This window comes from Homo sapiens, chromosome 8 (genome assembly GCF_000001405.40).
Source record: "Homo sapiens chromosome 8, GRCh38.p14 Primary Assembly".
Lineage (NCBI taxonomy): Eukaryota > Metazoa > Chordata > Mammalia > Primates > Hominidae > Homo > Homo sapiens.
Window position 1 is genome coordinate 8,007,045 of NC_000008.11, and position 24,582 is coordinate 8,031,626.

Below are 24,582 nucleotides of genomic sequence, written 5' to 3' on the forward strand. Positions count from 1 at the left end.
ACCTCATCCCACTCCAACATGATGTTTGTCCCCACAAATTGATGCACATAATTCTTGCTGGCAGTGCTAATGTCCTAATTAAAAAAATCAGGAGATGGCATCAGACTTTACTTTATTTTCTAGCTCAGCAGCATTTGATTCCTGTCTGATGAGGAAACCCTATTTTCCCTAGAAACTTTTCACTTTTGTCACAGGTTTGGTTCCCAGGGAACTGGATATAGATGAAGTTTAGTGTGCAGGATGTATATTAGGAAGTGATGTGAGGATCCACATCTGTGGAAAGGATTGGAGGGAAGCCTTATGTGCAAAGGGACAAGTCTAATCGCAGTGCAGCCTGACATTGTCAGCTGGCCACACGGACAGAGCTGTAGAGCTAAGAAGTCCTCCCCTATTGTCCCAACTGAATCAAATGGCAAAGCCTATGTACCCCTTGCCTCCATTAATGATTCTGTGCTTGCCACTTGTGGAGGATGAGACTTTGAAGCAGGTGGCTTTCTGTGGCTGAAGAAAACCTTAAATGTGCTGACAAAGTTTTCCAAAGAGACAGAGAATGGCATCTGCCATGTATGTTGCCCCTTTCCAAAGAGGAAGCAACAAGGGTAATAGCCTCCAATGGCTCTGTATGCAGATAGGTGGACAGTAATGTCTGTCCCTCCTGTGACCTAAGAAGAACAGATGGCAGACATGCAGCCAGGCAATTAGAGGTGACACAGTGTTAGGAGATAAACATCTGTCAGAAGCAGTGCTTCTTTGAATCAGGTGTGACACGAGCCTTGCATCCCTTGCATGGACCCCTTCCCCATTATCCTGCTGTCCTACCTCATGAAGGTGGGTGGGGGCTGGCTGGTGAGCAGTCCCAGTACCAGATACACTTTGCCTGCAGTCTTTCCACATGAGTTCCAAGGTAGCCCATGTGATCATCCATGAACGTTGTGTTTTCCTTATGCTGCTTGTCCTTTGCCTTTGAGGAACACGTTTCATTTGACTCTGAGTGCAAACGACACATGTGTCCCTATATCTGGACATTGTCCTTCACTTAGGGGAATCCGTAATCTATATTGCCTTTGTTTTATTTTTACTATTAATATTATAATAATTAACATTGTCATTATTACCTTCATTGTTGATATTCAGTTATTTTTATTAATAGAGTTACTATGAATTATTATATTGTGGCTACTTACACCAAGATGAAGATAATTTATTAGTTCAGGAAGAACCTGCATTCTGAAGGCAAATGGAAGTTCCAGCTACAGATGGGCAGACACATGCCCCCTCAATTCCTGATGGACCTCCTTGTGCCTCATGGACCTAAGGGGCCTCCCTCAATGTTTCAAGATGCCACCAAGGCAGGGATCAGCTAGTGCATTCCTGAGAACATCCAGGATGAATTGAGGCTCTGGAAAAATGCAAGAGTTTCCACATAATCCCAAAAAACCCTACAGGTGAACTGGATGCCACAGAAAGAGGAGTGGTCTTTGTCACAACAAAATCAACAAAATTATTTCGAAGTCAATTAGGAAACTCAGAAATCACTCTTGCTGCCATTAAGAGGAAGAACAGCAGCCTGTGAATGGCATCCCTGGCCTTCCCGAGACTCCACAGATATTTCTATGTGGCTTCAGACACCAGAAATCTCTGTGATTTTCAGAAAGGCAGGGACAGCTCATGCCAGCCCATCCCTCTGCAGAATGTGTCCCAGCAGATCAGTGGCATGGAACCATCATGGACAGCACAGAGGCTCAAGGGCAGCATCCCAGGTGGGCCTGTGACTCTAGATAAGTTCTGAGTCCCCATGGGGGATCAGGAAAGGTTAGTGATGACCTGGAAAGAAGGGACAGGTGGAAACCGCCCCTAAGCAATCTGCAGGATTCCAACTTCAGCAGGAAACCAAGGACCAGCTCGTACCACACCTGCGCCCCCTGAAAACTGGATACAATCCCACTCTGCAGAAAGTTCCACGTAGAAGTGGCTGGGAATTTTGCATTTTAGAATGAATTTTACAGTGCCTCTGGACATGTGATGAGAAAGTTAACATTGGTGTATCTAACTGACATTTTCCACGAAGTGATTTTTTAAGCTGTTTTAAAACAGACAAAATATAATTAAAACATATGTATTATATGTCAAAGTATGGTTCGCTGGAATCAAGTAGACTCACCTTGAGATACAATCTTGGACAACCTCCATATTCAGAATATCTACTTTTTCAAACCGAAACTCTCCAACCAAAAATCAATAACATCAAAAGTTTGCAACTACAAGCCAACGGAAAATAAATACATGAATTCTACCAAAGTGAATTGGACTGCTTTGGGAAACACAGATGAAGAAAGTCAGCACCGCTTTGTCTTTCAGTGCCTGGCTCCCTTTTCAGCTCGTCTTGCGACACCAGACATTATACCTGAAAAGTCTCCCGGACGCCTGTGAGGCTCTAATTCCCTGGGTCCTATTGTCATTTCTCTGGATTTGCGAAGATCCACCTCACCTTCTGTGGAACCCCCATGTCGGTGAACTTTTGGGCCACGGCCCCTAATTCTGCCCATAGTCATCTGGAACTGCACGAGTTAGGGTCCATGTTCCTTGGACGGGAAGAGACAGGCAGGAGTCGGAATGATGAACCAGCACACTGGGGCATTTTCTCATGTAGCCCAAGTGACCCCATGGTCTTCTCGAGCTTTGGAACCAGTCGCGTCCCCCTTGACACTGCACCCGACTCCCACTTTCTCAATCTTGTTGGCCCTCCGGCGATCTCCCTTTGGATGAATTGCACCTGCTGAAACTCGAGTCCCCTTTGATTTGCGCTTCATTAATTATTCATGATTCAGTTTGGAAGGCCTGCTTACGACTCCCTGTGGCCGTTCTCTGAGCTTTCCTGTCACATCGTTTCCTTCCACGCTCTTTGGTTCATTGTGGTCCTGCTGCTTCTGCTGTCAGAGGAGCAGAGAGTAGATCTTATTGATTCTGGATACGGATACTTTCTAGGTGATCTGGATAATCAAGATAACGACCCTCAACAGCGGCGGAAAGGGAGCAGCCATTCAGTGTGTCTCAGAAAATACCGCTCAGTTCCGAGGCCTCCTAGATGTGGAATCCTGCTCAGAGTTGTTCCCAGGTCAGAGAATAGAGAGAGTCTGTGCATGATGAGATATCCCTGCCTAGATCTTTCAGTGAGTCTCTACCTCAGCTACTCTTAGGATCAGTGGGAGAACCATGGAAAGGCCCGGTGTCAGACATCCGGAAAGAAGATGGGATGAATGTTTTACCTCTGAAGTACATCCCAAATCTGGGAGTTAACTACAGCTTTGCTGGGGACTATTTGGTCAGTGAAACTCTGCCTGGTTCATTCGCACATCCGGAAGCCACTTCACGGGGGGCCGTCGCAACCGGAACCACACACTTGGCATCGGCGGTTGAGCCAAATGGGGACTCGCGGTGCAAGCAACGCTCCCCACGTGTTAGCGTGCGTGAGATTCAGTTGGCGGAATTTTACTAGGTGCGTGTTGGTAGAGTGGGGCTGAGGTTCTCTTTCTCCTGTGGATGTATACGAAGTCAAAGGTCCTGCCCAGCCGTGCGGTCCCCTCAGTCAACTCTGTTTCGGAGACATAACGATTTGGATTGCTAACAAGTCAAGAAATGTTCAAGCCCTTGGATGTAGGGAAAAGAAAGAGAGATCAGACTGTCACTGTGTCTATGTCGAAAGGGAAGACATAAGAGACTCCATTTTGGAAAAGACCTGTACTTTAAACAATTGCTTTGCTGAGATGTTGTTCATTTGTAGCTTTGCCCCAGGCACTTTGCCCCAGCCGCTTTGACCCAACTTGGAGCTCACAAAAACCTGTGTTGTATAAAATCAAGGCTTAAGGGATCTAGGGCTGTGCAGGACGTGCCTTGTTAACCAAATGTTTACAAGCCGTATACTTGGTAAAAGTCGTGGCCATTCTCTAGTCTCAATAAACCAGGGGCACAATGCACCGTGGAAAGCTGCAGGGACGTCTGCCCTTGAAAGTAGGGCATTGTCCAAGGTTTCTCCCGATGCGATACTCTGAAATATGGCCTTGTGGGATAAAAAAGACCTGACTGTCCCCTAGCCTGACACCGGTAAAGCGTCTGTGCTGAGGTGGATTAGTCAAAGGGGAAAGCCTCTTGTAGTTGAGATGGAGGAAGGCCACTGTCTCCTGCTCGCCCCTGGGAGCTGAATGTCTCGGTGTAAAATCCGATCGTACATTTGTTCAACTCTGAGCTAGGAGAAAAGCTGCCCTGTGGCGCGAGGCGAGACATGTTGGCAGTAATGCTGCCCTGTTATTCTTTACTCCGCTGAGATGTTTGGGTGGAGAGAAACATAAATCTGGCCTACGTGCACGTCCAGGCATAGTACCTTCCCTTGAACTTAATTATGATATAGATTGCTTTGCTCATATGTTTTTTTGGTTGACCTTCTCTTTATTATCACCCTGCTCTCCTACTACATTCCTTTTTGCTGAAATAATGAAAATCATAATCAATTAAAAATGAGGGAACTCAGAGGTCGGTGCCGGTGCAGGTCCTTGGTGTGCTGAGTGCCGGTCCCCTGGACCCACTTTTGTCTCCCTATACTTTGCCTCTGTGTCTTATTTCTTTTCTCCGTCTCTCATCCCACCCGACTAGAAACACCCACAGGTGTGGAGGGGCAGGCGACCCCTACACTTGGAAAATCAGTTAAACACAAACACGGAATGAGAGTCAAAAGACAATATGTCATCTTTTTGAGAATTTTATTCACTTCAAAACAAATTCAACACACATATTTACAAAGGCATTCCAGAGCCCAGTTTTCGAGGCTGAGGAAAGACCCCGAGAGCACTTTGCACAGCACGCTTCCCAGCGTCCGAAACACTGCTCTCAAGGCGGAGCACAGAGGAAGGGCTGCACCTCTCAGGGTTCCCTAACTTTTCCCTTATTCAGTCATCTAAAGAGCAAATACACAGTAATTCCCCAGTTTCCTATTGACGTCCCAGCGGAAGTCTGACTCCAGCGCATCACGCAGTTTCTGACGCAAAGAATCACTGACGCGGAAGCTTTTCCTGGCGCGTTTCCGGAGACCCATGCGAAATACAACGTCCCTCACCAGAATTCAATGAGGCAGAGTCCCTGCATCTGTTCTCTGCCTGGCCTGGGCTCCCACATCCACAGAAGCGCCACAGCCGGGGAGCATCGAAGTCAGCGCAGAGTCTGCTCTCTGCTCTGCGCTCCTCAGTCCCACAGTCCCCTCCAAGTCACGGGAGCTGGAGGCCAAGGAGCCCCTGCCACCTGCAGTCTCACTCCAGGTCAGAATCGCTGTCCTCTGAGGAGGAGGAAACCTGAAGGTCCTCATAGAGGACGCTCGGTGGGACACGAACACAGGGAGCCTCAGACTTCTCTGACACATGAGGGCTCTGAGCGAGGAAGGCTCCCGGCTTCTCAGGAGAGTGAAATGAGGGGGCCGCCAGGAGGCTGGAGCTCCAGCGTCCGTTTTCCAGTCTCCGGAAGAGCACTCTGAGAGGCTGGGCCCCATCATGGCTGGCCGCTGAGTGATGGGACATGGTGCAGGCCTGGGCAGTAGGCAGGCAAGGTCTGCTGTGCGGAGGCTGCCGTTCGACGCTGGGCACCTGGGCCGAAGTCCTCCTGCCCATCTGGGGCGACGTACTTGGTCCAAGTTCGGTTGCGGCTGGCGGAGGTTGGAGATTCTCCAGGGCCCCCAGCTCACCTCCCTGGATGGCGCTTTCGGGGATCTGGAAGGGACCCAGTCTCGGTTTCTTGGGGAAGTTCAGGCAAGCCTGAATCGGAGCCTGGGCAGGTCTCTTGGCTCCTGGCCCGAAGCTGAGATTGGAGCCTAGGCCCAAGCTGTGTGTGGCGGCTGGCGGGCAGGGCTGTGAGGTCACCGCAGGACGTTTGTCTTGTGCCTGGGGTCTGGCGGCCTGGAGCAGGCCGTGGGTTTTGGAGGCAGCCTGGGGAACTTCTCGGCAGCCACCCTCAGGGCTGCTGTGTGTCGGCTTCACCACGAGGAGAGGCTCGCGGCCCTGGTGCCTGACTGCAGGCTGAGGGATGTCGGCCGCAGCCCCTGTCTGTCTTTCCTTTGGTCCAAGACTTGAGGAGGAGCTCAGGCTGGCTTTTCTGAGGGGAGACAGTGAAGCCAAGACGGAGCCCCTGCCAGACATTTCGGTAGCTGAGCCATCAGCGAGGACAGGGTCCACGCGCGGCCTCTTACTGGTTGTGTGGACCGGCATTGGCCCGCTTGCAACCTGAAAGAGAGGAAACAACACAGGTTAGAAGTTCCTCAGCATGGAGCCAACGTGAAAATCAAGCACATCCAAAGACAAGGTGCACACGCCATGAAATTCTTAGTACAGTATCGACAGGCGGTCCTTGGAAGTAGGGACAGACCCTCCACCTGAGTGCTGATCAGGACAAGACACATGAAAGATGCGCTCTCGAGCTATGTGTAGCTGATCTAAGCACACCATTGTTCAAAAGATCGCGTCTTGGGCATTAACTGGATCAAAGCGCCTCCACTCAGCCTTCCATGAAGTGGAACGGACTAATGCCCTTCCCAAGGCAGGTTGCTGGCTCAAGGGTACTCGGGACGTCTTCTCTGAACACATGCATGTTCCTGGGTTTCGCCTTCTCCACGTTTGGGGCCTCTGAGGGACTAATTTCCTCATGCCGCTAGGAACGTGTTGTTGGCAGGCTTGCCATAATTGGACAGAAAGAAAGCAACAGGAAATACGGCATGTTCAGATGCCTTCGCCTGGAATCCAATTGACCTGGAAGGATCGTGGAGTCCCTGACCCCAAGAAGGCAAGAAAGAGGGGTTCCCCGATTTCCTCCCGCAGACGGGAAGCTGAAAGGAAATCAACCAGGGTGACCTAGAGGAGAAAAAGACCAGGGGCCCGGGGTGACACTCGCCCTCAGATAATCAGAAGGTTCCGTGGATCCTTTTCCATTCGGCAGCGGCTTCTCTGGAGGTTTCCCGGAAAACATGTGGAGGAGAGCCTTCCTCTGCGGGTCTTGTTGCCTGCAGAACAGAAAAAGGTCAGGCCGTGCCCCCTGGTTTTCCCCAGGAGACAGGGAGAACCCCGTCTGGGGCCCAGCCCCATTCCGTGTCTTGTGATACAGAAATGGACATCTGGTGCCCTTTCCGCCTCTGCACCTTCCCTCACGTGCCAACCTTCCCATCCTCCAGGTGGCCCTCTAGGCTTCCCAACTAAGGACTGTGATTTGGATTCCATCGCTTTTCCCGCTGTCGCGGGGAACCTGCACGAAGCGCCCCCGCCTCTCCCCGTCCCTGAATCTCCCAGAGCCCAAGGAGCTCCTGGGTGTGGAACCCCAGAGGACACGGAGCTCCGGCCTATTTCTCTGCAGCGTTCCTTCCCTGGCCCGGAGACGGAAAGGCACACGGTGTGCAGGTGCAGAGACACCATGTCCTTAGGAGGCAGTACCCCAAGAGTGGTGAAAACCCCTCCCACTGCTCACCTTGGTCTCTCTTCCTTCTCTCCCTTATCCTTGTTCAAGGGCCCCGGGTTGGCTTCAACCCGGGGCTTCCATGGTTTCAGGTTTTCCTTCCCTTCCTTTTTCCCCAAGGTCGCTGGAACCAGGGCTGCCTTCCAGCACTTCATGGGGCACCTGGTACTTCTGGCCGTGTGGCCAAAGGCCCCGCAGTTTTTGCACTTGAGCTGTGGGTGGAAAGGAAGTGATGTCAGTGAGTGAGCTGAAGCCACAGGCAGCGATCCCACGTCAACATTGGGACGGATTGTGAATTCAGAGCTGAATAAGGATTCCAAAGAGGGGACACCGGCATGGGGGCCGTTAAGTGCTGGGAGACTTCGGATACGATGTTCCCTCGCAAAGCCCGTGTGACGGAGGAACTCTGAAAGGAAGGACTCAAGGTTCCAAGGGGCACGATGGTGAAGCCGATGTCAACAACGCAGCCAAACGTGGCTACACAGGACTCTAAGTAGAAAGGGAGGTTGCCCCCAAGAGTCTCTCAAGGGACCTATCGGGCCGGGGAGAAGGTCCCAAGCCACGCCCACCTTGGATGGGAAAAGCAACCTGGCTGGTGGTGACAGAACTCTTTGGAATCCAACCCAGTCTCTGAGGACCGTGGGACACCACCTCCCCCCGTCCCCACCCCCACCCCGATACCCAAGAGATCCAGGGCTAGACTTACCCTGGGATCTTCTTCATCGGGCGGGGGAGCCCTTGGCCCAACTGGGGCCCTCCGCTGCTTCTGGAGGGTCTGGGCTCTCACCAGTCTCTTGGCCCAAGATGTGGGGTCCCGACGTGCCATCATCTTCGTCTCCTGGGGGTTTTATGACCGCCTTTTTCAGGGGTGGACTGTTGGGCCACCTGAAACACACACAAACACACACATGTCGATGGTTAAGCACGTTGGATATTCACACACCCACAGGAAGCCACCTGCTAACTCCCTGCCTGTGTGGTCATGAGGAGACCTCACCACCAGTCGGTCAAATCTGTAGAACACAATGTGCTGCGCGCATCCTCGGATATTGTGTGTTCCTCTGCCATGACTACCTAGTCCAAGAGTAAACCCCACCTGCCACAGGGCCCGTGGCCTAGGTAGGGGGGTTGAGCTTTCAACCCCAAACAAACAACTGATTCTGGAGACTGGACTTAGGTCTCTCACGATTCACTCCGGTAGAAGACACGGTGATTCTATCTCCCTTGACGGACAGAATGATCGAAGACACAGGGAATGGCGTGTGCCACCCTTTGGCAGGTCTGCTTGAAGTCAGGGATAAGGGATGCTTCCTGTGACAACTTGAATCGCTACTCTTGCCATTTCATTAGGCAACTTCCAAACACAAATTCATACAGAGAAGTTACCTTCCTCTCTACCGCACTAGCAGGTGATGGTCTTTCCTGTTCTATCTTTTGGCTTTAGCTCCAGCCCCTCTTTATTTATTTTCCTGGTATTTTACGCATACCACACGAATTCATCTGAACAAACGGGGAAGAAGTGCCATATCGTATCGACGTCTTACACGGCTCAAGGGCCAACCACCCTTTTTTCCAAAGTCCTTTTGCCGTTTACCCACCAATTCAGCATGCTGCAGTACATTTCTTTTCGCATTCCCATCTTGGTCTTCTCCCACACGTGGAGACGGATATGTTTTCTCGTTTTCTGTTCCAAGAATTACTAGTAACGAGAACACATCCTACCCCACCAGCAAGCCCCAGTGTGATCGGTTTCTTTCGGCCTCCTTTGTCTCTTCCTCCCCCCCCACCCCCCGCAAAACCCCCCCAGGGATTGCGTGAAAGAAACAATTGTTCAGCGAAACTAACCTGAAGTTACACGTCTACTTTCTTTCCCAGGCTGGCGCTGAGATGGGCAGGTGCTGCAGCAGCCCCGCTGGAAGCGATGCAGCATCCAGAACGACGGAGGAAGGGGCGGAGAGGGACCTCTGCTTTCCAGGCTGCCTTTTATACTGCCTCTGGTCACCTGACATGGAACGTACCCTAACCTAATCAGTTACCTGTACCTTAATTGCAATTAACTTAATCCAATTACATGACCTGGAAAGGTCTATCTGCACAGCCCACTCTAAGATCCTGTCCACTGCTGACAGACATTCTAAAACCTACTTGTACAGCTGCAAGCTTTGAACAATAGATGTTCCCCGTCAGACATGTAACACTGGTGCCTGTACCCCTGTCTTCTTTTCCATCTTTTTTGTTGTTTTGTTTTGTTTCGTTTTAAAAAATGTGGTAAAATAGACACCTTTTAATTGGACCACATTTTGTCTCTCTCGACGTAGGCCTCAGTGTCATCAAGGAGACTCTCCTTGACATGCAGTCACGGCCATGATCCATCTTCAGAGCTTCTCTTTCTTCCCCAAGGTAAGTCTGTCAGCAGAGAACCCTGACCGCACCCTCATGTGTTTTCTCCCCCAGGAGGCGCTTGGAAACCACCGTGAATTGGACCGCACTGGGAAACACAGATGAGGAAAGTCAACAACGCTTTGTCCTTCAGTGCCTGGCTCCTTTTTCAGCTCGTCTTGCGACTCCAGGCATTATGCCTGAAAAGTCTCCCGGACGCCTGTGAGGCTGTAATTCCCTGGGTCCCATTGCCATGTCTCTGGATTTGCGAAGATCCACCGCACCTTCTGTGGAACTCCCGTGTCGGTGAACTTTTGTGCCACGGCCCCTAATTCTGCCCATGGTCATCCGCACCTGCACGACTTAGGGTCCATGTTCCTTGGACGGGAAGAGACAGGCAGGAGTCGGAATGATGAACCAGCACACTGGGGCGTTTTCTCATGTAGCCCAAGTGACCCCATGGTCTTCTCGAGCTTTGGAACCAGTCGCGTCCCCTTTGACACTGCACCCGGCTCCCAGTCACTCAATCTTGTTGGCCCTCCGGCGATCTCCCGTTGGATGAATTGCTCCTGCGGAAACTCGAGTCCCCTTTGATTTGCGCTTCATTAATTATTCATGATTCAGGTTGGAAGGCCTGCTGAAGACCCCCTGTGGCCGTTCTCTGAGCTTTCCTGTCACATCGTTTCCTTCCACGCTCTTTGGTTCCTTATGGTCCTGCTCCTTCTGCTGTCAGAGGAGCAGAGAGTTGATCTTATTCATTCTGGATACGGATACTTTCTAGTTGATCTGGATAATCAAGATAACGACCCTCAACAGCGGCGGAAAGGGAGCAGCCAGTTGGTGTGTCTCAGAAAATCCCGCTGAGTTCCGAGGCCTCCTAGATGTGGAATCCTGCTGAGAGTTGGTCCCAGGTCAGAGAATGGAGAGAGCCTGTGCATGATGGGATATCCCCGCCTAGATCTTTTAGTGAGTCTCTGCCTCAGCTACTCTTAGGATCAGGGGGAGAACCATGGTGTCAGACATCCGGAAAGAAGACGGGATGAATGTTTTACCTCTGAAGTACATCCCAAATGTGGGAGTTAACTTCAGCTTTGCTGGGGTCTATTTGGCCAGTGAAACTCTGCCTGGTTCCTTCGCACATCCGGAAGCCACTTCACGGGGGGCCGTCGCAACTGGAACCACACACTTGGCATCGGCGGTTGAGCCAAATGGGGACTCGTGGTGCAAGCAACGCTCCCCACGTGTTAGCGTGCGTGAGATTCGGTTGGCGGAATTTTACTAGGTGCGTGTTGGTAGAGTGGGGCTGAGGTTTTCTTGCTCCTGTGGATGTATAGGAAGTCAAAGGTCCTGCCCAGCCCTGCGGTCCCCTCAGTCAACTCTGTTTCGGAGACGTAACGATTTGGATTGCCAACAAATCAAGAAATGTTCAAGCCCTTGGATGTAGGGTAAAGAAAGAGAGATCAGACTGTCACTGTGTCTATGTAGAAGGGGAAGACATAAGAGACTCCATTTTGAAAAAGACCTGTACTTTAAACAATTGCTTTACTGAGATGTTGATCATTTGTAGCTTTGCCGCAGCCCCTTCCTTTGACCCAACTTGGAGCTCACAAAAACCTGTGTTGTATAAAATCGAGGTTTAAGGGATCTAGGGCTGTGCAGGACGCGCCTTGTTAACCAAATGTTTACGAGCAGTATACTTGGTAGAAGTCATTGCCATTCTCTAGTCTCAATAAACCAGGGGCGCAATGTACCGTGGAAAGCCACAGGGACCTCTGCCCTTGAAAGCAGGGTATTGTCCAAGGTTTCTCCCCATGTGACAGTCTGAAATATGGCCTCGTGGGATGGGAAAGTCCTGAATGTCCCCCAGCCTGACACCCGCAATGGGTCTGTGCTGAGGTGGATTAGTCAAAGAGGAACGCCTCTTGCAGTTCAAATGGAGGAAGGCCACTGTCTCCTGCTTGCCCCTGGGAACTGAATGTCTCGGTGTAAAGCCCGATCGTACATTTGTTCAACTCTGAGCTCGGAGAAAAGCTGCCCTGTGGCGGGAGGTGAGACATGTTGGCAGTAATGCTGCCTTGCTTTGTTTACTCCGCTGAGATATTTGTGTGGAGAGAAACATAAATCTGGCCTACGTGCACGTCCAGGCATAGTACCTTCCCTTGAACTTAATAATGATATGGATTCTTTTGCTCACGTGTTTGTTTTTTGTTGTTGTTGTTGACCTTCCCCTTATTATCACCCTGCTCCCCTACTGCATTCCTTTGTGCTGAAATAATGAAAATCATAATCAATAAAAACTGAGGGAACTCAGAGGCCGGTGCCGGTGCAGGTCCTAGGTGTGCTGAGTGCCTGTCCCCTGGACCCACTGTTGTCTCCCTATACTTTGTCTCTGTGTCTTATTTCTTTTCTCCGTCTCTCATCCCACCCGACTAGAAACACCCACAGGTGTGGAGGGGCAGGCCACCCCTTCACTTGGAAAATCAGTTACACACAAACACGGAATGAGAGTCAAAAGACAATATGTCATCTTTTTGAGAATTTTATTCACTTCAAAACACATTAAACACACATATGTACAAAGGCATTCCAGAGCCCAGTTTTCGAGGCTGAGGAAAGACCCCGAGAGCGCTTCGCACAGCACGCTTCCCAGCGTCCGAAACACTGCTCTCAGGGCGGGGCACAGCGGAAGGGCTGCACCTCTCAGGGTTCCCTAACTTTTCCCTTATTCAGTCATCTAGACAGCAAATACACAGTAATTCCCCAGTTTCCTATTGACGTCCCAGCGGAAGTCTGACTCCTGCGCGTCACGCAGTTTCTGAGGCAACGAATCTCTGGCACGGAAGCTTTTCCTGGCGCGTTTCGGGAGAACCACGCCAACTACAACGTCCCTCACCAGAATTCAATGAGGCAGAGTCCCTGCATCTGCTCCCTGCCTGGCCTGGGCTCCCACATCCACAGAAGCGCCACAGCCGGGGAGCTTCGGAGTCACCGCACAGAGTGTGCTCTCTGCTCTGCGCTCCTCAGTCCCACAGTCCCCTCCAAGTCACGGGAACTGGAGGCCAAGGAGCCCCTGCCACCTGCAGTCTCACTCCAGGTCAGAATCGCTGTCCTCTGAGGAGGAGGAAACCTGAAGGTCCTCATAGAGGACGCTCGGTGGGACACGAACACAGGGAGCCTCAGACTTCTCTGACACATGAGGGCTCTGAGCGAGAAAGGCTCCCGGCTTCTCAGGAGAGTGAAATGAGGGGGCCGCCAGGAGGCTGGAGCTCCAGCGTCCGTTTTCCAGTCTCCGGAAGAGCACTCTGAGAGGCTGGGCCCCATCATGGCCGGCCGCTGAGTGATGGGACATGGTGCAGGCCTGGGCAGTAGGCAGGCAAGGTCTGCTGTGCGGAGGCTGCCGGTCGACGCTGGGCACCTGGGCCGGTGTCCTCCTGCCCATCTGGGGCGACGTACTTGGTCCAAGTTCGGTTGCGGCTGGCGGAGGTTGGAGATTCTCCGGGGCCCCCAGCTCACCTCCCTGGATGGCGCTTTCGGGGATCTGGAAGGGACCCAGTCTCGGTTTCTTGGGGAAGTTCAGGCAAGCCTGAATCGGAGCCTGGGCAGGTCTCTTGGCTCCTGGCCCGAAGCTGAGATTGGAGCCTAGGCCCAAGCTGTGTGTGGCGGCTGGCGGGCAGGGCTGTGGGGTCACCGCAGGACGTTTGTCTTGTGCCTGGGGTCTGGAGGCCTGGAGCAGGCCGTGGGTTTTGGAGGCAGCCTGGGGAACTTCTCGGCAGCCACCCTCGGGGCGGCTGTGTGTCGGCTTCACCACGAGGAGAGGCTCGCGGCCCTGGTGCCTGACTGCAGGCTGAGGCATGTCGGCCGCAGCCCCAGTCTGTCTTTCCTTTGGTCCAAGACTTGAGGAGGAGCTCAGGCTGGCTTTTCTGAGGGGAGACAGTGAAGCCAAGACGGAGCCCCTGCCAGACATTTCGGTTGCGGAGCGATCAGCGAGGACAGGGTCCAAGCGCGGCCTCTTACTGGTTGTGTGGACCGGCATTGGCCCGCTTGCAACCTGAAAGAGAGGAAACAACCCAGGTTAGAAGTTCCTCAGCATGGAGCCAACGTGAAAATCAAGCACATCCAAAGACAAGGTGCACACGCCATGAAATTCTTAGTACAGTATCGACAGGCGGTCCTTGGAAGTAGGGACAGACCCTCCACCTGAGTGCTGATCAGGACAAGACACATGAAAGATGCGCTCTCGAGCTATGTGTAGCTGATCTAAGCACACCATTGTTCAAAAGATCGCGTCTTGGGCATTAACTGGATCAAAGCGCCTCCACTCAGCCTTCCATGAAGTGGAACGGACTAATGCCCTTCCCACGGCAGGTTGCTGGCTCAAGGGTACTCGGGACGTCTTCTCTGAACACATGCATGTTCCTGGGTTTCGCCTTCTCCACGTTTGGGGCCTCTGAGGGACTAATTTCCTCATGCCGCTAGGAACGTGTTGTTGGCAGGCTTGCCATAATTGGACAGAAAGAAAGCAACAGGAAATACGGCATGTTCAGATGCCTTCGCCTGGAATCCAATTGACCTGGAAGGATCGTGGAGTCCCTGACCCCAAGAAGGCAAGAAAGAGGGGTTCCCCGATTTCCTCCCGCAGACGGGAAGCTGAAAGGAAATCAACCAGGGTGACCTAGAGGAGAAAAAGACCAGGGGCCCGGGGTGACACTCGCCCTCAGATAATCAGAAGATTCCGTGGATCCTTTTCCATTCGGCAGCGGCTTCTCTGGAGGTTTCCCGGAAAACATGTGGAGGAGAGCCTTCCTCTGCGGGTCTTGTTGCCTGCAGAACAGAAGAAGGTCAGGCCGTGCCCCCTGGTTTTCCCCAGGAGACAGGGAGAACCCCGTCTGGGGCCCAGCCCCATTCCGTGTTTTGTGATACAGAAATGGACATCTGGTGCCCTTTCCGCCTCTGCACCTTCCCTCACGTGCCAACCTTCCCATCCTCCAGGTGGCCCTCTAGGCTTCCCAACTAAGGACTGTGATTTGGATTCCATCGCTTTTCCCGCTGTCGTGGGGAACCTGCACGAAGCGCCCCCGCCTCTCCCCGTCCCTGAATCTCCCAGAGCCCAAGGAGCTCCTGGGTGTGGAACCCCGGAGGACACGGAGCTCCGGCCTATTTCTCTGCAGCGTTCCTTCCCTGGCCCGGAGACGGAAAGGCACACGGTGTGCAGGTGCAGAGACACCATGTCCTTAGGAGGCAGTACCCTAAGAGTGGTGAAAACCCCTCCCACTGCTCACCTTGGTCTCTCTTCCTTCTCTCCCTTATCCTTGTTCAAGGGCCCCGGGTTGGCTTCACCCCGGGGCTTCCATGGTTTCAGGTTTTCCTTCCCTTCCTTTTTCCCCAAGGTCGCTGGAACCAGGGCTGCCTTCCAGCACTTCATGGGGCACCTGGTACTTCTGGCCGTGTGGCCAAAGGCCCCGCAGTTTTTGCACTTGAGCTGTGGGTGGAAAGGAAGTGATGTCAGTGAGTGAGCTGAAGCCACAGGCAGCGATCCCACGTCAACATTGGGACGGATTGTGAATTCAGAGCTGAATAAGGATTCCAAAGAGGGGACACCGGCATGGGGGCCGTTAAGTGCCGGGAGAGTTCGGATACGATGTTCCCTCGCAAAGCCCACGGGACGGAGGAACTCTGAAAGGAAGGACTCAAAGTTCCAAGGGGCACGATGGTGAAGCCGATGTCAACAACGCAGCCAAACGTGGCTATACAGGACTCTAAGTAGAAAGGGAGGTTGCCCCCAAGAGTCTCTCAAGGGACCTATCGGGCCGGGGAGAAGGTCCCAAGCCACGCCCACCTTGGATGGGAAAAGCAACCTGGCTGGTGGTGACAGAACTCTTTGGAATCCAACCCAGTCTCTGAGGACCGTGGGACACCCCCTCCCCCCGACCCCACCCCCACCCCGATACCCAAGAGATCCAGGGCTAGACTTACCCTGGGATCTTCTTCATCGGGCGGGGGAGCCCTTGGCCCAACTGGGGCCCTCCGCTGCTTCTGGAGGGTCTGGGCTCTCACCAGTCTCTTGGCCCAAGATGTGGGGTCCCGACGTGCCATCATCTTCGTCTCCTGGGGGTTTTATGACCGCCTTTTTCAGGGGTGGACTGTTGGGCCACCTGAAACACACACAAACACACACATGTCGATGGTTAAGCACGTTGGATATTCACACACCCACAGGAAGCCACCTGCTAACTCCCTGCCTGTGTGGTCATGAGGAGACCTCACCACCAGTCGGTCAAATCTGTAGAACACAATGTGTTGTGCGCATCCTCGGATATTGTGTGTTCCTCTGCCATGACTACCTAGTCCAAGAGTAAATCCCACCTGCCACAGGGCCCGTGGCCTAGGTATGGGGGGTTGAGATTTCAACCCCAAACAAACAACTGATTCTGGAGACTGGACTTAGGTCTCTCACGATTCACTCCGGTAGAAGACACGGTGATTCTATCTCCCTTGACGGACAGAATGATCGAAGACACAGGGCATGGCGTGTGCCACCCTTTGGCAGGTCTGCTTGAAGTCACGGATAAGGGATGCTTCCTGTGACAACTTGAATCGCTACTCTTGCCATTTCATTAGGCAACTTCCAAACACAAATTCATACAGAGAAGTTACCTTCCTCTCTACCGCACTAGCAGGTGATGATCTTTCCTGTTCTATCTTTTGGCTTTAGCTCCAGCCCCTCTTTATTTATTTTCCTGGTATTTTACGCACACCACACGAATTCATCTGAACAAACGGGGAAGAAGTGCCGTATCGTATCGACGTCTTACACGGCTGAAGGGCAAACCCCCCTTTTTTCCAAAGTCCTTTTTCCATTTACCCACCAATTCAGCATGCTGCAGTACATTTCTTTTCGCATTCCCATCTTGGTCTTCTCCCACACGTGGAGACGGATATGTTTTCTCGTTTTCTGTTCCAAGAATTACTAGTAACGAGAACACATCCTACCCCACCAGCAAGCCCCAGTGTGATCGGTTTCTTTCGGCCTCCTTTGTCTCTTCCTCCCCCACAACCCCCGCAAAACCACCTCAGGGATTGCGTGAAACAATCAATTGTTCAGCGAAACTAACCTGAAATTACACGTCTACTTTCTTTCCCAGGCTGGCGCTGAGATGGGCAGGTGCTGCAGCAGCCCGGCTGGAAGCGATGCAGCATCCAGGACGACGGAGGAAGGGGCGGAGAGGGACCTCCGCTTTCCAGGCTGCCTTTTATACTGCCTCTGGTCACCTGACATGGAACGTACCCTAACCTAATCAGTTACCTGTACCTTAATTGCAATTAACTTAATCCAATTACATGACCTGGAAAGGTCTATCTGCACAGCCCACTCTAAGATCATGTCCACTGCTGACAGACATTCTAAAACCTACTTGTACAGCTGCAAGCTTTGAACAATAGATGTTCCCCGTCAGACATGTAACACTGGTGCCTGTACCCCTGTCTTCTTTTCCATCTTTTTTGTTGTTTTGTTTTGTTTTGTTTTAAAAAATGTGGTAAAATAGACACCTTTTAATTGGACCACATTTTGTCTATCTCGACGTAGGCCTCAGTGTCATCAAGGAGACTCTGCTTGACATGCAGTCACGGCCATGATCCATCTTCAGAGCTTCTCTTTCTTCCCCAAGGTAAGTCTGTCAGCAGAGAACCCTGACCGCACCCTCATGTGTTTTCTCCCCCAGGAGGCGCTTGGAAACCACCGTGAATTGGACCACACTGGGAAACACAGATGAGGAAAGTCAACAACGCTTTGTCCTTCAGTGCCTGGCTCCTTTTTCAGCTCGTCTTGCGACTCCAGGCATTATGCCTGAAAAGTCTCCCGGACGCCTGTGAGGCTCTAATTCCCTGGGTCCCATTGCCATGTCTCTGGATTTGCGAAGATCCACCGCACCTTCTGTGGAACTCCCGTGTCGGTGAACTTTTGTGCCACGGCCCCTAATTCTGCCCATGGTCATCCACACCTGCACGACTTAGGGTCCATGTTCCTTGGACGGGAAGAGACAGGCAGGAGTCGGAATGATGAACCAGCACACTGGGGTGTTTTCTCATGTAGCCCAAGTGACCCCATGGTCTTCTCGAGCTTTGGAACCAGTCGCCTCCCCTTTGACACTGCACCCGGCTCCCAGTCACTCAATCTTGTTGGCCCTCCGGCGATCTCCCGTTGGATGAATTGCTCCTGCTGAAACTCGAGTCCCCTTTGATTTGCGCTTCATTAATTATTCATGATTCAGGTTGGAAGGCCTGCTGACGACCCCCTGTGGCCGTTCTCTGAGCTTTCCTGTCACATCGTTTCCTTCCACGCTCTTTGGTTCCTTATGGTCCTGCTCCTTCTGCTGTCAGAGGAGCAGAGAGTTGATCTTATTCATTCTGGATACGGATACTTTCTAGTTGATCTGGATAATCAAGATAACGACCCTCAACAGCGGCGGAGAGGGAGCAGCCAGTTGGTGTGTCTCAGAAAATCCCGCTGAGTTCCGAGGCCTCCTAGATGTGGAATCCTACTGAGAGTTGGTCCCAGGTCAGAGAATGGAGAGAGCCTGTGCATGATGGGATATCCCCGCCTAGATCTTTTAGTGAGTCTCTGCCTCAGCTACTGTTAGGATCAGGGGGAGAACCATGGTGTCAGACATCCGGAAAGAAGACGGGATGAATGTTTTACCTCTGAAGTACATCCCAAATGTGGGAGTTAACTTCAGCTTTGCTGGGGTCTATTTGGCCAGTGAAACTCTGCCTGGTTCCTTCGCACATCCGGAAGCCACTTCACGGGGGGCCGTCGCAACTGGAACCACACACTTGGCATCGGCGGTTGAGCCAAATGGGGACTCGTGGTGCAAGCAACGCTCCCCACGTGTTAGCGTGCGTGAGATTCGGTTGGCGGAATTTTACTAGGTGCGTGTTGGTAGAGTGGGGCTGAGGTTTTCTTGCTCCTGTGGATGTATAGGAAGTCAAAGGTCCTGCCCAGCCCTGCGGTCCCCTCAGTCAACTCTGTTTCGGAGACGTAACGATTTGGATTGCCAACAAATCAAGAAATGTTCAAGCCCTTGGATGTAGGGTAAAGAAAGAGAGATCAGACTGTCACTGTGTCTATGTAGAAGGGGAAGACATAAGAGACTCCATTTTGAAAAAGACCTGTACTTTAAACAATTGCTTTACTGAGATGTTGATCATTTGTAGCTTTGCCGCAGCCCCTTCCTTTGACCCAACTTGGAGCTCACAAAAACCTGTGTTGTATAAAATCGAGGTTTAAGGGATCTAGGGCTGTGCAGGACGCGCCTTGTTAACCAAATGTTTACGAGCAGTATACTTGGTAGAAGTCATTGCCATTCTCCAGTCTCAATAAACCACGGGTGCAATGCACCGTGGAAAGCCACAGGGACCTCTGCCCTTGAAAGCAGGGTATTGTCCAAGGTTTCTCCCCATGTGTCAGTCTGAAATATGGCCTCGTGGGATGGGAAAGACCTGACTGTCCCCCAGCGTGACACCCGCAATGGGTCTGTGCTGAGGTGGATTAGTCAAAGAGGAAAGCCTCTTGCAGTTCAGATGGAGGAAGGCCACTGTCTCCTGCTTGCCCCTGGGAACTCAATGTCTCGGTGTAAAGCCCGATCGTTCATTTGTTCAACTCTGAGCTCGGAGAAAAGCTGCCCTGTGGCGGGAGGCGAGACATGTTGGCAGTAATGCTGCCTTGTTATTCTTTACTCCGCTGAGATATTTGTGTGGAGAGAAACATAAATCTGGCCTACGTGCACGTCCAGGCATAGTACCTTCCCTTGAACTTAATAATGATATGGATTCTTTTGCTCACGTGTTTGTTTTGTTGTTGTTGTTGTTGACCTTACCCTTATTATCACCCTGCTCCCCTACTGCATTCCTTTGTGCTGAAATAATGAAAATCATAATCAATAAAAACTGAGGGAACTCAGAGGCCGGTGCCGGTGCAGGTCCTAGGTGTGCTGAGTGCCGGTCCCCTGGACCCACTGTTGTCTCCCTATACTTTGTCTCTGTGTCTTATTTCTTTTCTCCGTCTCTCATCCCACCCGACTAGAATCACCCACAGGTGTGGAGGGGCAGGCCACCCCTTCACTTGGAAAATCAGTTACACACAAACACGGAATGAGAGTCAAAAGACAATATGTCATCTTTTTGAGAATTTTATTCACTTCAAAACACATTAAACACACATATGTACAAAGGCATTCCAGAGCCCAGTTTTCGAGGCTGAGGAAAGACCCCGAGAGCGCTTCGCACAGCACGCTTCCCAGCGTCCGAAACACTGCTCTCAGGGCGGGGCACAGCGGAAGGGCTGCACCTCTCAGGGTTCCCTAACTTTTCCCTTATTCAGTCATCTAGACAGCAAATACACAGTAATTCCCCAGTTTCCTATTGACGTCCCAGCGGAAGTCTGACTCCTGCGCGTCACGCAGTTTCTGAGGCAACGAATCTCTGGCACGGAAGCTTTTCCTGGCGCGTTTCCGGAGAACCACGCCAACTACAACGTCCCTCACCAGAATTCAATGAGGCAGAGTCCCTGCATCTGCTCCCTGCCTGGCCTGGGCTCCCACATCCACAGAAGCGCCACAGCCGGGGAGCTTCGGAGTCACCGCACAGAGTGTGCTCTCTGCTCTGCGCTCCTCAGTCCCACAGTCCCCTCCAAGTCACGGGAGCTGGAGGCCAAGGAGCCCCTGCCACCTGCAGTCTCACTCCAGGTCAGAATCGCTGTCCTCTGAGGAGGAGGAAACCTGAAGGTCCTCATAGAGGACGCTCGGTGGGACACGAACACAGGGAGCCTCAGACTTCTCTGACACATGAGGGCTCTGAGCGAGGAAGGCTCCCGGCTTCTCAGGAGAGTGAAATGAGGGGGCCGCCAGGAGGCTGGAGCTCCAGCGTCCGTTTTCCAGTCTCCGGAAGAGCACTCTGAGAGGCTGGGCCCCATCATGGCTGGCCGCTGAGTGATGGGACATGGTGCAGGCCTGGGCAGTAGGCAGGCAAGGTCTGCTGTGCGGAGGCTGCCGGTCGACGCTGGGCACCTGGGCCGGTGTCCTCCTGCCCATCTGGGGCGACGTACTTGGTCCAAGTTCGGTTGCGGCTGGCGGAGGTTGGAGATTCTCCGGGGCCCCCAGCTCACCTCCCTGGATGGCGCTTTCGGGGATCTGGAAGGGACCCAGTCTCGGTTTCTTGGGGAAGTTCAGGCAAGCCTGAATCGGAGCCTGGGCAGGTCTCTTGGCTCCTGGCCCGAAGCTGAGATTGGAGCCTAGGCCCAAGCTGTGTGTGGCGGCTGGCGGGCAGGGCAGTGAGGTCACCGCAGGACGTTTGTCTTGTGCCTGGGGTCTGGCGGCCTGGGGCAGTCCGTGGGTTTTGGAGGCAGCCTGGGGAACTTCTCGGCAGCCACCCTCGGGGCGGCTGTGTGTCGGCTTCACCACGAGGAGAGGCTCGCGGCCCTCGTGCCTGACTGCAGGCTGAGGCATGTCGGCCGCAGCCCCTGTCTGTCTTTCCTTTGGTCCAAGACTTGAGGAGGAGCTCAGGCTGGCTTTTCTGAGGGGAGACAGTGAAGCCAAGACGGAGCCCCTGCCAGACATTGCGGTAGCTGAGCGATCAGCGAGGATAGGGTCCAAGCGCGGCCTCTTACTGCTTGTGTGGACCGGCATTGGCCCGCTTGCAACCTGAAAGAGAGGAAACAACACAGGTTAGAAGTTCCTCAGCATGGAGCCAACGTGAAAATCAAGCACATCCAAAGACAAGGTGCACACGCCATGAAATTCTTAGTACAGTATCGACAGGCGGTCCTTGGAAGTAGGGACAGACCCTCCACCTGAGTGCTGATCAGGACAAGACACATGAAAGATGCGCTCTCGAGCTATGTGTAGCTCATCTAAGCACACCATTGTTCAAAAGATCGCGTCTTGGGCATTAACTGGATCAAAGCGCCTCCACTCAGCCTTCCATGAAGTGGAACGGACTAATGCCCTTCCCAAGGCAGGTTGCTGGCTCAAGGGTACTCGGGACGTCTTCTCTGAACACATGCATGTTTCTGGGTTTCGCCTTCTCCACGTTTGGGGCCTCTGAGGGACTAATTTCCTCATGCCGCTAGGAACGTGTTGTTGGCAGGCTTGCCATAATTGGACAGAAAGAAAGCAACAGGAAATACGGCATGTTCAGATGCCTTCGCCTGGAATCCAATTGACCTGGAAGGATCGTGGAGTCCCTGACCCCAAGAAGGCAAGAAAGAGGGGTTCCCCGATTTCCTCCCGCAGACGGGAAGCTGAAAGGAAATCAACCAGGGTGACCTAGAGGAGAAAAAGACCAGGGGCCCGGGGTGACACTCGCCCTCAGATAATCAGAAGATTCCGTGGATCCTTTTCCATTCGGCAGCGGCTTCTCTGGAGGTTTCCCGGAAAACATGTGGAGGAGAGCCTTCCTCTGCGGGTCTTGTTGCCTGCAGAACAGAAGAAGGTCAGGCCGTGCCCCCTGGTTTTCCCCAGGAGACAGGGAGAACCCCGTCTGGGGCCCAGCCCCATTCCGTGTTTTGTGATACAGAAATGGACATCTGGTGCCCTTTCCGCCTCTGCACCTTCCCTCACGTGCCAACCTTCCCATCCTCCAGGTGGCCCTCTAGGCTTCCCAACTAAGGACTGTGATTTGGATTCCATCGCTTTTCCCGCTGTCGTGGGGAACCTGCACGAAGCGCCCCCGCCTCTCCCCGTCCCTGAATCTCCCAGAGCCCAAGGAGCTCCTGGGTATGGAACCCCGGAGGACACGGAGCTCCGGCCTATTTCTCTGCAGCGTTCCTTCCCTGGCCCGGAGACGGAAAGGCACACGGTGTGCAGGTGCAGAGACACCATGTCCTTAGGAGGCCGTACCCTAAGAGTGGTGAAAACCCCTCCCACTGCTCACCTTGGTCTCTCTTCCTTCTCTCCCTTATCCTTGTTCAAAGGCCCCGGGTTGGCTTCAGCCCGGGGCTTCCATGGTTTCAGGTTTTCCTTCCCTTCCTTTTTCCCCAAGGTCGCTGGAACCAGGGCTGCCTTCCAGCACTTCATGGGGCACCTGGTACTTCTGGCCGTGTGGCCAAAGGCCCCGCAGTTTTTGCACTTGAGCTGTGGGTGGAAAGGAAGTGATGTCAGTGAGTGAGCTGAAGCCACAGGCAGCGATCCCACGTCAACATTGGGACGGATTGTGAATTCAGAGCTGAATAAGGATTCCAAAGAGGGGACACCGGCATGGGGGCCGTTAAGTGCTGGGAGACTTCGGATACGATGTTCCCTCGCAAAGCCCATGTGACGGAGGAACTCTGAAAGGAAGGACTCAAGGTTCCAAGGGGCACGATGGTGAAGCCGATGTCAACAACGCAGCCAAACGTGGCTACACAGGACTCTAAGTAGAAAGGGAGGTTGCCCCCAAGAGTCTCTCAAGGGACCTATCGGGCCGGGGAGAAGGTCCCAAGCCACGCCCACCTTGGATGGGAAAAGCAACCTGGCTGGTGGTGACAGAACTCTTTGGAATCCAACCCAGTCTCTGAGGACCGTGGGACACCCCCTCCCCCCGTCCCCACCCCCACCCCGATACCCAAGAGATCCAGGGCTAGACTTACCCTGGGATCTTCTTCATCGGGCGGGGGAGCCCTTGGCCCAACTGGGGCCCTCCGCTGCTTCTGGAGGGTCTGGGCTCTCACCAGTCTCTTGGCCCAAGATTTGGGGTCCCGACGTGCCATCATCTTCGTCTCCTGGGGGTTTTATGACCGCCTTTTTCAGGGGTGGACTGTTGGGCCACCTGAAACACACACAAACACACACATGTCGATGGTTAAAACGTTGGATATTCACACACCCACAGGAAGCCACCTGCTAACTCCCTGCCTGTGTGGTCATGAGGAGACCTCACCACCAGTCGGTCAAATCTGTAGAACACAATGTGCTGTGCGCATCCTCGGATATTGTGTGTTCCTCTGCCATGACTACCTAGTCCAAGAGTAAACCCCACCTGCCACAGGGCCCGTGGCCTAGGTATGGGGGGTTGAGCTTTCAACCCCAAACAAACAACTGATTCTGGAGACTGGACTTAGGTCTCTCACGATTCACTCCGGTAGAAGACACGGTGATTCTATCTCCCTTGACGGACAGAATGATCGAAGACACAGGGCATGGCGTGTGCCACCCTTTGGCAGGTCTGCTTGAAGTCACGGATAAGGGATGCTTCCTGTGACAACTTGAATCGCCACTCTTGCCGTTTCATTAGGCAACCTCCAAACACAAATTCATACAGAGAAGTTACCTTCCTCTCTACCGCAGTAGCAGGTGATGGTCTTTCCTGTTCTATCTTTTGGCTTTAGCTCCAGCCCCTCTTTATTTATTTTCCTGGTATTTTACGCACACCACACGAATTCATCTGAACAAACGGGGAAGAAGTGCCGTATCGTATCGACGTCTTACACGGCTGAAGGGCAAAACCCCCTTTTTTCCAAAGTCCTTTTTCCATTTACCCACCAATTCAGCATGCTGCAGTACATTTCTTTTCGCATTCCCATCTTGGTCTTCTCCCACACGTGGAGACGGGTATGTTTTCTCGTTTTCTGTTCCAAGAATTACTAGTAACGAGAACACATCCTACCCCACCAGCAAGCCCCAGTGTGATCGGTTTCTTTCGGCCTCCTTTGTCTCTTCCTCCCCCACACCCCCCGCAAATACCCCTCAGGGA

The 24,582-nt window shown here is 52.8% G+C and overlaps 3 protein-coding genes, 1 long non-coding RNA gene and 1 pseudogene across 4 annotated transcripts in view, besides 2 other annotated features; 2 read left to right on the forward strand and 3 right to left on the reverse strand.

Moving 5' to 3' along the window:
- FAM66E (family with sequence similarity 66 member E) overlaps nt 1-1,711 on the forward strand; it is a 53,743-nt gene extending 52,032 nt beyond the window's left edge. Inside the window, exon 7 of the long non-coding RNA NR_027424.1 lies at nt 1,151-1,711. This is a non-coding gene — a long non-coding RNA (family with sequence similarity 66 member E). The remainder of the gene's footprint in view (nt 1-1,150) is intronic.
- Nucleotides 1-24,582, forward strand: part of LOC124901865 (translation initiation factor IF-2-like) — a 451,468-nt pseudogene that overhangs the window by 393,321 nt on the left and 33,565 nt on the right.
- FAM90A11 (family with sequence similarity 90 member A11) lies at nt 5,298-8,308 on the reverse strand. The gene is made up of 4 exons (NM_001423539.1): nt 8,186-8,308; nt 7,492-7,691; nt 6,925-7,033; nt 5,298-6,260 (listed from the first exon to the last, which is right to left on the reverse strand). The coding sequence occupies exons 1-4, from the start codon at nt 8,306-8,308 to the stop codon at nt 5,298-5,300; spliced, it is 1,395 nt and encodes a 464-aa protein (NP_001410468.1).
- Nucleotides 12,759-13,260: an enhancer, noted in NCBI's record as "H3K4me1 hESC enhancer chr8:7877325-7877826 (GRCh37/hg19 assembly coordinates)". NCBI's record gives its function as "activates a minimal SCP1, AML or CMV promoter by ChIP-STARR-seq in primed H9 embryonic stem cells {active_cell/tissue: H9 hESC(primed)}" and the evidence as "EXISTENCE:reporter gene assay evidence [ECO:0000049][PMID:30033119]".
- FAM90A24 (family with sequence similarity 90 member A24) lies at nt 12,944-15,954 on the reverse strand. The gene is made up of 4 exons (NM_001423530.1): nt 15,832-15,954; nt 15,138-15,337; nt 14,571-14,679; nt 12,944-13,906 (listed from the first exon to the last, which is right to left on the reverse strand). The coding sequence occupies exons 1-4, from the start codon at nt 15,952-15,954 to the stop codon at nt 12,944-12,946; spliced, it is 1,395 nt and encodes a 464-aa protein (NP_001410459.1).
- Nucleotides 13,261-13,760: an enhancer, noted in NCBI's record as "H3K4me1 hESC enhancer chr8:7877827-7878326 (GRCh37/hg19 assembly coordinates)". NCBI's record gives its function as "activates a minimal SCP1, AML or CMV promoter by ChIP-STARR-seq in primed H9 embryonic stem cells {active_cell/tissue: H9 hESC(primed)}" and the evidence as "EXISTENCE:reporter gene assay evidence [ECO:0000049][PMID:30033119]".
- On the reverse strand, nt 20,592-23,602 carry FAM90A12 (family with sequence similarity 90 member A12). The gene is made up of 4 exons (NM_001423531.1): nt 23,480-23,602; nt 22,786-22,985; nt 22,219-22,327; nt 20,592-21,554 (listed from the first exon to the last, which is right to left on the reverse strand). Exons 1-4 carry the CDS (start codon nt 23,600-23,602, stop codon nt 20,592-20,594), a joined length of 1,395 nt encoding a protein of 464 aa, NP_001410460.1.

Excerpts from the sequence above, each read along its gene's own strand:
- FAM90A24 (NM_001423530.1), bottom strand. The coding sequence starts at position 15,954 with ATGATGGCACGTCGGGACCCCACATCTTGGGCCAAGAGACTGGTGAGA. Across the intron at positions 14,680-15,137 it reads GAGAAGGAAGAGAGACCAAG|GCAACAAGACCCGCAGAGGA; the intron begins GTGAGCAGTGGG and ends TCTGTTCTGCAG. Across the intron at positions 13,907-14,570 it reads AATCTTCTGATTATCTGAGG|GTTGCAAGCGGGCCAATGCC; the intron begins GCGAGTGTCACC and ends CCTCTCTTTCAG.
- FAM90A12 (NM_001423531.1), bottom strand. The coding sequence starts at position 23,602 with ATGATGGCACGTCGGGACCCCAAATCTTGGGCCAAGAGACTGGTGAGA. Across the intron at positions 22,986-23,479 it reads CCGATGAAGAAGATCCCAGG|CTCAAGTGCAAAAACTGCGG; the intron begins GTAAGTCTAGCC and ends TTCCACCCACAG. Across the intron at positions 21,555-22,218 it reads AATCTTCTGATTATCTGAGG|GTTGCAAGCGGGCCAATGCC; the intron begins GCGAGTGTCACC and ends CCTCTCTTTCAG.
- FAM90A11 (NM_001423539.1), bottom strand. The coding sequence starts at position 8,308 with ATGATGGCACGTCGGGACCCCACATCTTGGGCCAAGAGACTGGTGAGA. Across the intron at positions 7,692-8,185 it reads CCGATGAAGAAGATCCCAGG|CTCAAGTGCAAAAACTGCGG; the intron begins GTAAGTCTAGCC and ends TTCCACCCACAG. Across the intron at positions 7,034-7,491 it reads GAGAAGGAAGAGAGACCAAG|GCAACAAGACCCGCAGAGGA; the intron begins GTGAGCAGTGGG and ends TCTGTTCTGCAG.